Source organism: Homo sapiens, chromosome 1 (assembly GCF_000001405.40).
Source record: "Homo sapiens chromosome 1, GRCh38.p14 Primary Assembly".
Taxonomy (NCBI): domain Eukaryota; kingdom Metazoa; phylum Chordata; class Mammalia; order Primates; family Hominidae; genus Homo; species Homo sapiens.
In genome coordinates this window covers 187,258,060-187,270,836 of record NC_000001.11, presented here as the reverse complement: position 1 = coordinate 187,270,836, position 12,777 = coordinate 187,258,060, and the positions used below count along the sequence as shown (strand labels likewise).

The 12,777-nt window shown below is 35.7% G+C and overlaps 1 long non-coding RNA gene across 1 annotated transcript in view, besides 1 other annotated feature; it reads right to left on the bottom strand.

Moving 5' to 3' along the window:
• The window catches only part of LINC01036 (long intergenic non-protein coding RNA 1036), a 267,403-nt gene that overhangs the window by 89,408 nt on the left and 165,218 nt on the right, over positions 1 to 12,777 (bottom strand). The gene's annotated exons all lie outside the window — the stretch shown is intronic.
• Positions 1,103 to 1,303: a silencer, noted in NCBI's record as "peak523 fragment used in MPRA reporter construct". NCBI's record gives its function as "represses an SCP1 promoter by STARR-seq MPRAs in K562 erythroleukemia cells {active_cell/tissue: K562}" and the evidence as "EXISTENCE:reporter gene assay evidence [ECO:0000049][PMID:32103011]".

Here is a 12,777-nt window from a genome sequence, read left to right as displayed (position 1 = left end):
TCTTTATTATAAAAGATTGGACTATATCCTATCCAAACCAGAAATTTGTACTGGAAGTAGCCTGCTGTTCTCACAAAACCCTAAAATATATGGCACTGGCTTAGCAGTAATCAGGAGGACACTGTAATTATGGGTTGGAAGTTGCTTGTGATAACTTGAGAAGCAGACTGTGCCAACAAACAAATAATAACAGACCAAGCCTGGGTTTTCATATAGACAAAAAAAAAGCACAGTAAAATGCTGGAGAAAGGAAAAGCCGAGCACAAAGACCACTAAATAAGTGAAAGACTTTAAGTTGAAGAACTATATCCAGACATAATTTGCATCGATGACTCCTTACCATGGAAATGAAAGAGAAAGCAAATTGAATGCATCTACTAAGTTATCGAGGAATTTTTGCTGCCACTGAAAGCACAAACTAGCCTGAAATGCACGTAATTGTTCAACTCCTCAAGCAGCTTCTATGTCCCCAAACTGAACAAGCTGTGCAGCCCTCAGGAGAACACATTTTCCAACACACTTCAGATATGGTCACAGAAGAAAATGGCAAAAGACACCAGAGACGAAAATGCACAAAGGGCTTTCTCTAGAGACAAGAACAAGAACTAACCAAGGACATTTTGCCCTGCCAACGCTTGCTCACAGGATTTCGTTATTGCTGTGGGCAAGTGACTGCTCTGTATTTCCCTTTATTCTCTTTTCTGAATGATATTTTAATTGAAGTTATCCCTGTCTTTCTCCATTACCGTTAAGTGTGTGTGGGGAGGAAGCAAGTAATTTTTCTATTAGTTTATAGGTCACCAAAACACCAGTAAATCCAGACTGACTTAATGGAGAGAACCAATCACCATTCAGAGGTCTGGCACTTTCAGCTAAACGACACTACTGGATGTGGCTTTGGTTGCCATCTATGGATGTGATTATGTGGGTTCTATGTGTGGAAAAAGGGATACAGATGGATATTAGGGTTGCCACAGAAATGGATTAAGGAATAGACTAATAGTCGTCCCCTCATACGTATTCATCCCTTCTTTAATGACAGAACTCCTCAGTTTTAGCTAGTGACATCTGCACACAGCTACGGTTTCCACTTCCAGACTTCCTTGAGGTTTTGTGTGGACACGTGACAAAATTTTAACCAACAAAGAATGAGCAGAAGTGATAACGCCACTTCCCAGTTATACTTCTAAAATGTTGTACAGACTCTTCTGGCTCATTTTCCTTTCAGCTGACTGAGATGATGTATATAGTAGCAACCACCCGACAGTCTGAGATCCAAGTATCATGTTAAGAATGGTAAGACACCGAATCAGCTCCAAATCACTTACCTTCGAGCAGTATCATGACAGAGAAATAGATTTTAGGCTTTTCTCTCTTGCTTAGAACATATGAACCTGTAATCCAATACAGCAGTCTTCTCCAAGTTTTTATCATCAATTTCCTAAACCAACATACAAAATTAATCTTAATGCTAGGGTAACATATGAGTTTTCCCCATTAGAAAATAGATGAGTATAAAAGGTTGGAATGTTTATAGACTTTGGTTGTTGTTCTTGTCACGTACACAATTAATGTTATGCTAACATATAGGTTTACACTCATTATTTAACTTTACAGTCTTCCAAGTTATTAATGAAATATTTCTGGCACCTTATTCTGCATATCCAATAAAAAACAGAAAAGTGGAAGTCATTGAATGGAGATTGGCTTTTGTGGAAATATTTTCTTGGTCATGAGATGATAACAGTACAGATCACTGGTTGGTCATTTATGGAGTCTTTGGAGCCAAGGGACAAACAATATGGGAGAGGAAGGACATGTCTTCTTACAGGAAATTAACCTTGCTATTTCTTGAGGCAAAGCATGGAAATTAGCAATCTCTTTCACCTTTTCTTTTGAAATTATAGTTAATAAAATTTCTTCTGAAACTGATTGCCCTGTAACCCCAGTGTGTTATGTGGTGAGTTTTTATTTTTCTTCTTCTTCGAGTCCATGTATTTTAATGGGAAATTGGGAGCTATAAGTTTGTTTGTCTTCCTTGCTGTAAAAGGAGATTAACTGAGGAGAAAGTTTTTATTCGCCTTGTTTTAGCACTGTCTTCTTATCCAAGAACAGAACCTGACATAGAGTAAGTCCTCAATAAATACTTCCTCACTGAAAAAAATTGAATGAATGAATGAATCAGTCAGGCAATCAATCAATTACATAGTTTAAGAACTATTCTACTATCTACTAAGGTGGATATCACTTTAAATTCTAGAGAGTCCTTCTTTATATTTTAATTTTGAGTTGCCATCATATACACTGTAAACAAAGTTAAATAAGTAATATGAATTATTCAGAAAATCAGAGTGTGGAAAGAAGGTATTTTCACTATAACAAAAATAAAGGCAATTTTATCTGAAATTCCAAAAGAACTTTCCACATTGACCAAATTTAATGTACAGTTGCTCATCATCATGTATCCCTTTACTGATCTTCCACTAAACATTTTTAAAGTGAATATTAGATAACAATATTCTTACCTTGCAAATAACATAATTTTATAGGTAAGATCTGAGGTTTGTTATATTAGGTTTTTTTCCTTTCCTTATGCTATAGTGAAAAACCTTGAACACAACCTCACAACTACCTTACACAAGTTCATATTGAATGCAGACAGTACAACCCAATATTAAGCACTTCTAACCTAACTTGGTCTCCATCTGTCCTGTAAGTCATCTCCACAGCCAGAAGTATGAGTAAACAAACAGCCCTTTAAGGAATGCTCTCCAATTTCATTGATTTTGGCTTTATCAGCCGGACAAATGGAGGTAAGTTTAAAGCTAATGGATCTTCAAAGAAATATTTCCCATTCCACTGTTCCTTAGATGCCAACATTCAAAACACTGGAGGGAAAGGCAGCCTAAGGCTCAGGTTGGAGGGCAGCATTTGTTACCAGAGAAAGGAAGTAGTAGGAGATGTTCCTTAATGATTATCTCCTTAACTAAAATCTTTTATCCATGTCCAGCTTGAGTCATTTGCTCATAAGACATTGTGATAATGCACCCTTCTGATCCACACTAAATATTGAAACAGGTCAATCTGTCCACATTAATCACAGTCTTTTGGTTTCAACTTCTCGAAATTTTGGCATTTTGTCATCAACTGTGTCTACGAAATATTAAAACAGTTATGTACTCATACAAATTAAAAGACAAACTAATACACATTTACAATTATTAAAGATCAAAAGTATTAAACCTTGGATTGAATTAAAGAATTGGGATTTACGATTGCCAGACTTGAGGTCAGGAACGTCTCATTTAATTTAATGGTATCCAGTAACTTTCATTTTTATATAGACCACAGAGACCTTTCAAGCATCACATTGGTGTAAGTAGAGAAATATACTCTTTAACTACAGTATTCTCTATAACCTTTTGTTCCTTCCTATGGACAGCTCTCAGTGGTGTCTGCAGGTTTTCATTCAGCACTGACCTCAGGACAAATCACTGTTAGCCGAGTTTGTCTGCGGCACCTCAGCATTCTCTCTTTGCCCTCTTTTTATTTTCCCTTTAGCCTTAGGCCCTCAGAATGTGCAGTTTGTCTATCAAAACCTGTTCTTAAGAAATGATCAGAAGCATATTCACATTAAAGAATATCTAACCAATAGCCATTTCAAATACGATGTATTTCCAAGTAACTTTGAATTTAACTGTACCAAAGTGAAAAACAGCAAGTTTGTACGAAAGCCCCTACAGTGGAATCTCAGTTCTCAGCAAATTTCATTCATATCCTTTCAGATCCTCTATCCCTTGCCCTTTCATCTGGTGGAAGAGATAGCCAAGTGTTTGTTTGGAGTGTGTGAGGGCATGGTTTGTCTATGTACTCATGTGTATGTGTGTTTGGAGGATGTGATGTATAAAGATTGTGTGTGTGTGTGTGTGTGTGTGTTGGGGGTATCTGCTTTTGCAGAGTGTGGGGCATGAGGGTGGTGTGTGTATGTGAGTGTATGCATGTGTGCACATGTGTATTTAATGTTACTGCTAACACGAAGGTAGGGCTTCTTGGACATTTGCAATCACACCATGTAGAGTCACCACATTTATACATAAAGCTACTTCTGTTTTTATCTACATCCTGAAAAAATAGTGAAGAGAATATTTGAGCAACATTCTACATTAGGAAAGATATTGAAAGATGATGAGCAAGTGCACACAATTCTTGAAGGTTGAACTCCTTCTTCAACTTATCCTACCATTTATACTTTCTGATTTTCTTATTTTATGTTATCAGGTCAAAATCTTGTGTAAGAAAAAAAATACAACTTTGTTACCTTATATTTTCACTGTCATTGAAACTCACTTCTTTTAGTAACAGATTCTTGGGAATACTCGATTGCTCCACACAGTTCAGGTGAAAAAATTTGCCCCCACTTCTCTAAAACTACATTTGAACGATCCAGTTCATCTGTGAAGTAGTGGAGCAATCTGCAGGACACTTTCCTCCCAGTCCGGACTTTCTTTACAAAGGAATCCCCTAGTGAATGTGTCACCAAGTTATTTCTAGTTGGTGTGTGTGTGTTCTGGGGGCTTTATCAGCACAAGCAGCAGCAGAAATGCTGATACAACTGTCAGAGAGGAGGGGAATGTTGCAGGAATTGTGAGAAGTTAAATGAGAGACTGGCAGCTCTGTCGGCTCAGCGTTCATCTCAGAAATGAGAGGAGGCTTAATCTGCAGGCATGTTTATGATTTTCTTATTAGGTGTCACAGGCAACTCAATCCCTTCCAGAATATAGGAACAATATGGAGAGGTAGGTATTAAAATTTTAACCAGTAACAGCTGAGATAAAAAATATAGACAGATGACAGAGAAGGAAGAGCACAGTAGAAAGTGCTTTAAAATAAACCTGAATTTAAATCTGTGGTTGTCCACTTGCAAACCTGAATTTAAATCTGTGGTCTTCCAGTTACAGGATGAGAAACCTTGGGCAAATTATTAACATCTATTATAATAGGCTCAGTTTTTTTTAAATCTGGAAAATGGGCATAAATTTTTTTATTTTATATAGCTATTATGAGACATATACGATGTAATATGTATAAAGAACAAACCCAGGCATTTGTTCTTACAAGGCTTTTGATAAATGGTTGGAAATTGATATTTGAATACCACAAGTTAGCTTTGAATATCCTACTTAATTGCTCTCCACAGTGCTTGTTTTTACTTCTATTATCAGAATAATTATTAGCCTTTGTTCATTTTTGTATGTTTTTTGTCTGTTCCTCAAATTCTATGACTTACTTATGTTTGTAACTGTAACCAGGCTCTACTGTAATATTCTGAGTATGGTAATACAAATAACAGACAAATTTTAGCGGATGTTTCTTATTTGCCAGACATTCTTCTAAATATTTTAAATTAAAGGTTTTAATTCTCACAAGATTTTTATAAGTTAGTTACTATTGTTATCTTTATTTTGCTGAATAGATGCTATCTAGGTTGTCTATTGTCAGAGAATTAATATATTTCAGAGCCAGCATTCCAAACATGGGTATCGGAGTTTAGACCTCAGCTATTGACTACAATGCAGTTATATTAAAGAAAAGAGAACAGGAGGGAGAAAAGATCCAAATAAGGTGGCAGGGTGCCACCCAGTGATAAAGCCTTAGAATAGCAGTGGATTAACCAGAAGTCTGGAGAGAGGCAAGTAAATCATATGACGAACCCCAGGAAAATGCTCTAGTGCAAGAGGTAGAATTGCATTTGGTGTCACTGAGACACTGAACCATCAATGGAGGTTATAAAAATTTGAGGAATACCTGGTTTATTTCACTCGCTTATTGAGAATTTATACCTGGAGCACTGATCAAAACTAACTGATGAAAAAATAATTAAAAATAAATTGAAAAGATAAACATTTTACATCCAAAATACTTTCAACATTAACAAAAATGCATTTTAAAAAGCTGACAAATACATGTTCCCGGCATCTGACTTGAATGAACTACTGCACTACAAAGCTTCATTATCTCTGAGCTTTATGGCTGTAGGAAACATTTTGGGTAATATATGTAATTCTTCATAAAAATCTGTATTAATATTCTTTAGCATTGAACTCTGAGAAGAATTTAATATGTATTTAATAACAATGGAGAAAAGTATGTGTCAATGAGAATGAGACCTCTGTAACAGTAAAGTGATCAAACACTAAAATCCTGAGCTGCCACTGTAATTAGGGAAGTATTTAGTAGTTTTACACATTTGACTGTTCATCAGGAAGTTATTTTTTGCTCAGGTACAATCTTGTAGTTATTATTTTATCCAAAAGCCAGAGGCTCATGAAAGTCTTGTGAGCACCATGGTCTTGGTGGGACACTCCTCAATGTGCATCAAGAGCATGAACAAGAGAGAAAACTGACAGAATCAAAAAAACAAAAACAAAACCAGAGAGGCCCTTTTCAGATACTATGTAAGTAACAGTGTTTTTTAAATGCAGCACTCTTGAAAAAGAATATGTAATGGATAAAGTAAGATTTATTCGTTATTAGTTATAAGGACATTGTTATGTAAAAAGACCCATTTACTACAATTGGCACAGTGCTAGAACATGAAACATCCTGAAGAGGATAAGCAACTGCAAACTCCACTGCACCACACAAATACCTTACTTCACCACCCCCCAAATGTGTTTACTTACCCACCACAAAACACATTTTATCTAAGAAGGCTTCCCTTAACTATAATGGTGCTAACGCTAAATGTAATACTGTAGTTGTTATTCCAGAGTCTAAGTCTAGTCATCATCAATTCATCCTTCTGCTGTCCAGTCTTGGATAAGAATCATATTTAGAAAGAATCCAAATCCATTTAGGAGGACCCCAGTTGATGATTACCATTAAGGTTTGCATACCTGAGAGAGGCACGCAATTGACTTGAAAAGCACTACCCAAGTCACTTAGTCTTCATGTCTGCATACATGCTCTCAGGAATACATTGAGCATATACTATGTCACTGACACATTAAGTGTTGTCCTCAAAATGTTCTCATTTTATCATGACAAAAATCCTTTACATAATTATTATAGATAAAGATACCAAAGCTCAGAGAAGAAAAGTAGCATGACTAATGTCACCCGGCTGCTAATTGTGAAAGCCAACATTTGGAAGTCTGAAAGACAGTGACTGAATAGGCATTTATTGTGTAGATTCTGTATAAGGGCAGAACACAAAATATAAAGGCATAATACAGATAATAAAGGAGAGAACAAAGAAAAAAGTGAGGCTGGGATAATATATCACAGGTTGTTTGGTAAAAACCTGAGCACAGGAATAGAATGAAGGGAATCCATATAAATGTGTATTTACCATGTCCTGAAATCTCCTTCACTGAAATATCTATGACTTCAAGCAAGACTTTAGAAGGAACTGGATTACCATCCAGTAAGAATAAATTCTTGAAGAATGGTCTAAATTACCTATGCTAAAAAAAAAAAAATTTGGCTAGTCAATGCTAATACAAAGTCAGCCCTCTAACTATGTAAATAAATAAAAAGGAAAGGAAACTAGTGCCTATGAAATAAAGTTGCAAATATACATATAATTAATCTTACCTGTCAGATTACCTGGAAGACATTTACTTCTGGAAATCTATCCAAAGATACTCTTTAAATAATGAGATATATTTTCCTGCATTAAAATGTCTAACAAAATGTTATAATATTTATAATAGTTTATTAAGAGTACATTAAACAAACAAGAAAAATGTTTTGTTTTGTTTTGTTTTTGAGATCAGGTCTCCCTGTGTTGCCCAGACTGGATTGTAGTGGCACGATCACAGCTCACTGCAGCCTCAACCTTCTGGGTTCAAGTGATCCTTAACTGCCCTAACTGCTTGTAGCTGGAACTACAGACATGCACCAGCATGTCCAGCAAATATTTAAATTTTTTATAGAGACGTGGTCCTTCTATGCTGCTCAGACTTGTCAGAAACTCCTGGGCTCATGCAATCCTTCTGCCTCAGCCTCCCAAAGTGCTGAGATTAATGGCAAGAGCCACTGCACTTGGCCAAGAAAAGTGTTTATAAGTACCATTGCTAGAAAGAAATGCAGGATGTCCAGTTAAATTTGAATTCCAAATTAAAAAGTCAAAGTAACTCCCATGCAATATTTAAGATATAATTACACAAAAAACAATTTGTTGTTCATATGGGATTCAGTTAAAAGGGTAACTTGTACTTTTATTTGTTTGCTAAATCTGGTGAACTTACTTATGATATAACATTAAGTTTAAAAAGAAAAGCAGGATACAAACTTTTATATATAGATGAATTTCAGCCAGGTTAAAAGATGTGGCATTTGGTATTTTTATGTTGTTTATGTTTAAAAAAATATTTCCGTACATTCATTTATTTCTTTAATTAATATGTTTTACTATCAAAATTAAAACAAAAGATATTTCTTTTTAAGAAACCAAACCCACTAAGTATTTTTGAAGTGTATACTTGCAGTGTAGCTGACACCTCTCTAAAAGAAGTTTAGCTCATTGAATAAGATTTTTAATAATTTTAGTACAGTATGTTAAATATTTAGTAAGTAAATATATATACACATATATATGTAGATAGATAAATAGATAGATAGATAGATAGATAGATAGATAGATAGATAGAACAAATAGACAAATTATGCTATAGTAATTAAAACATAGTCATTTTTTATTTGTCCTAACTTATCCCTAGGTACTTCAGATACGGGCATTGGAAGAAGCAAGCACTTCCTCAGACTCCAGTCATTGAAAGGAAGAGAAACTGCTAGTATGATTTTAGGCCAGAATTTCGACATGCAAGAAAGAGGTATGTAACAAGCTCACCAACAAAAAACACAGCAACAGAAACGGCCTTTCAGCCTGTCTCTGGGAAACAAGCACGCTAATTGATAGTCTTCCCACATGCAGGCCTGTCTCATTATAATCCACTCTCCCCACTGCAGCAGCCAAAATGTAAACCTCTGTTTAAAATCCTTCCAAACAATTCCATCATTCTCTGCATAAAGACCTATCTGTAACACAGCCTATAATTAGGTTGACTCAGAGTCCCAGTTGCCACCTGTTGTTCTGGTGTAATCATTGATAGTACCTCCCTTTCACTCTCAAAAGTGATCCAGTTTAAACAATAAATTACACAGTTACCTTTCCAAGTTCTAGCTTTTTCTCCTATCCCACCCTTTTCTACTTCATACCCACCAGATATACTGAATGTCCTCTGGATCCCGGAACATACCATCCTCCTTCCTCATTCAAGGCCTCCGCACAGGCTTTCCACTCTGGTCTAAAGCAGTCTTCTCTGCCTCCACCCCTCCTCCAGGCTTATATTTCCTTAAACCCTATTCATCAATCATATTTTAGTTCAAATATAACTTTTTTCCAGATAATTCATTATTTTTCTATCACACTAGGTGTGATCTTCCTATTATTTATTCTCCTAGTGCCATACACTTTTCTATGTTTTACAGAGGTGATATGGCACTTATTGGCAAGGTTATTTGATTAATGCTCACTTGTTCAATGTGACTGTACATGCCAGGTTGGTTTCTTATGATTAGTTTTATTTTCTTTTGGAAGTCACTGAACCCAGCACCCATAATTGTGCACGGTACATGTTGGTTCTTGATAATCATTTGCTGAACTAATAACTGCAGGAGGTACAAACTTTTTGATGAAAGAACACATACAACCATACCTACTTCAAAGTGCCTACTTCAAAGGCAACTTGTATGTGCTTTTTCATAAAAATGTTTGTAACGTTGGTTTTGATTTTCTGAGGTTATCAGCCAATTGTGCTCATTGCTACATACATTGATCCACAATTGTTTGTGAAAAAAAGATTTGATTCAATTCGATTTTGTCTTTGTTTAGTAGCTAGAATATATTTATAAGGCAACTAGCAAGCTCATTCTACTTTTCATGAACATTTCCTATTTCCCCCCACTTGTGTTAGCTTATTGGGGTATATAGTTTTAGATATCACACTATGTCTATGAAAACACCACCTATCTTGGTTCTATGGGTAAACATACTTCTGATATTTAATATAGACTTTAGTCTTTATGTTGATGTCTCTCCAAATGATTTTGCCAACTAGTTTTGTGGTAAATAATGTCTGTGAGTCCTTGATTTTGCTTTCTCTGTGCTCCATTTTTTTAGGGAATTCTGGAAGACTCAAACTGTGCTCAACTCACTATGTTCTCAGAATTCCTTATATTTGTTTAAATTTTGCTGTGCGCTTCCAGTGTCCAACTCCCCACATATCCTATGCTACATATTCGATATTACATAGGTTATTACAAACTAGTCAGTGAAATTTAAAACAATGAGTGTTATTATTACAATTATAATAACAATAGCAAACAGATATTAGGTGCTTACATGTGACAGTGTTCTAAGTGTTTTTCATGTATTAACTCAAGTCTCTAGCAAGAGACCCATAAAAAATGCGAAATGTAGCAGAGCATTCTAAAGCAATTAGCTTGGAACAAAAAAAGTCATTACAAAAACACAGATACTGTACCTTGGGGGAAGAATGCCAAGTCTTTGGTTTAGAGAGAGAGAAATAAGGAGAGTGAATGATTTCAAGTACGTTCTACACTTCAATTTCATGCTCGGTTTCAGGATAGTTAATGCTTAGCCTCTAACATTAATATTTTTTAATAGACACTTTGGACACTGGTATTGGATAATGACAACACAGAGATACTGTCCTGCTGCCACTGCCTTTAGGACAAAGCGCCCATAACTAAAATTGCTACCTAGCAGATTAAAAAGTATCACACAAAGGATATCCCATCTTCCCTCTGATGTGGCCCCAAGTTTGGGTCAAAATCTTTTACACTAAAAAATGAGAATCTCCTCAAGAAACATAAAGTGCTCACTTTAAGCCTGGGAATTCTGAACTTTAATAAGAGGAAGATATAATTTATCTCCTCCGGAAAAAAAATTTTGACCATGATATAAACAGAATAAATTTTATTGAAAGTCCATGTACAAATTATATAATGAAATAATGAACAATCTTATTTGTGACCATTTTTAAAGAATATATTATTTACATAACTCAGATAAGCTGGCATATCGTATAATCTTAGTTTTACTTGGTTTTGGTGAACACCCAACTTTTACCAACTCCACCACCTTTTCCTTCTTGATGGGAGCCTCAGAAACTATTTACTTTAAGGTTCTGGTCAAGTAAGTTTTACTCAAGAACATAATGCTTTTATTAGTTTAGTGTTGTTAGAGAGATGTAAAAAGTGAAATCAGCATTAGGTATTGATCTCACAGTTAATTAACTTCTATCCTGAAGTTAGTATCTCCCTAATTAGTGATGTGCATGCTAATAAAGAAAGATGTTTCCTCTAATAGATGCGTATGTGATTCTTCTACATGTTACTCTAGGTGAAGAATCTGGTAAATGTTAAATTCCTTTTCTCTTCATTTCAAATATCACCCTAAGCTCATTCCTAATTTAACTCCTAAAAATGAAAACTTTTATCTTCATATAGGTTTGTAAACACCAGTGGGCTCCACATGAATGTGCAGGGATTCATACTCCTCCCTCTTTCTCTCAGTCACAAACCTTTTATTCTTCTAATGGGTACCCAGGTTTCTACCCTGTTTCTCTGAAATTTAATTCATGAAGATATTTTAAAATTCACTTTTCTTTATAATGATCTGAGAAGTTTAAATTACCAATGTTTTGGCCTAGCACAGTGGCTTACACCTGTAATCCCAGCACTTTGGGAGGCCAAGATGGGAGGATCACTTGAACTCAGGAGTTTGAGACCAGCCTAAGCAACACAGTGAGATCACGTCTCTATTTTTAAAAATTATAAAAAATAAACAAATAATCAATGTTTCAAACGTGTTAACTATAGATTTAATTTAAATTTAAATTGAATTATACCTATGGTTTATATAACCCTTGTACACTGTTGATGAGAATGTAAATTAGTACAACCAGTATGAAAAACAGTTTGAAGTTTCCTCACAAAACTAAAAATTGAGCTACCAAATGACCAATAATCCCACCACTGCCCATATACCCCAAAGAAAGACAATCAGTATATTGAAGAGATACCTGTACTCCTATGATTGTTGCAGCACTATTTACAATAGCTAAGATTTGGAAGCAACTGAAGTGTCTTTCAACAGATAAATGGATAAAGAAAATGTGGTACATATACACAATGGAGTACTATTCACTCATAAACAAAAATAAAATCCCAGCACTTTAGGAGGCCAAGGCGGGTGGATCACAAGGTCAGGAGATCGAGACCATCCTGGCTAACACGGTGAAACCCCATCTCTACTAAAAATACAAAAAATTAGCCAGGCATGGTGGCAGGCGCCTGTAGTCCCAGCTACTCAGGAGGCTGAGGCAGGAGAATAGTGTGAACCTGGGAGGCAGATCTTGCAGTGAGCCGAGATTGTGCCACTGCACTCCAGCCTGGGCGACAGAGCAAGACTCCGTCTCAAAAAATAAATAAATAAATAAACAAATAAAAATGAGATCCCATCATCTGCAACAACATGGATGAAACTAGAGGTCATTATGTTAAGTGAAATAAGCCAGGCACAGAAAGACAAACATCACACTTATTTTTGGCGCCTAAAAATGACAACAATTTGACTCACGGACATAGAGAGTAGAAGGATGGTTACCAGAGTCTGGGAAGGCTAGTGGGGGTTTGGAGGGGAGGTGGGGATGGTTAATGGGTACAAAAAGAAGAGAAAATAACGAA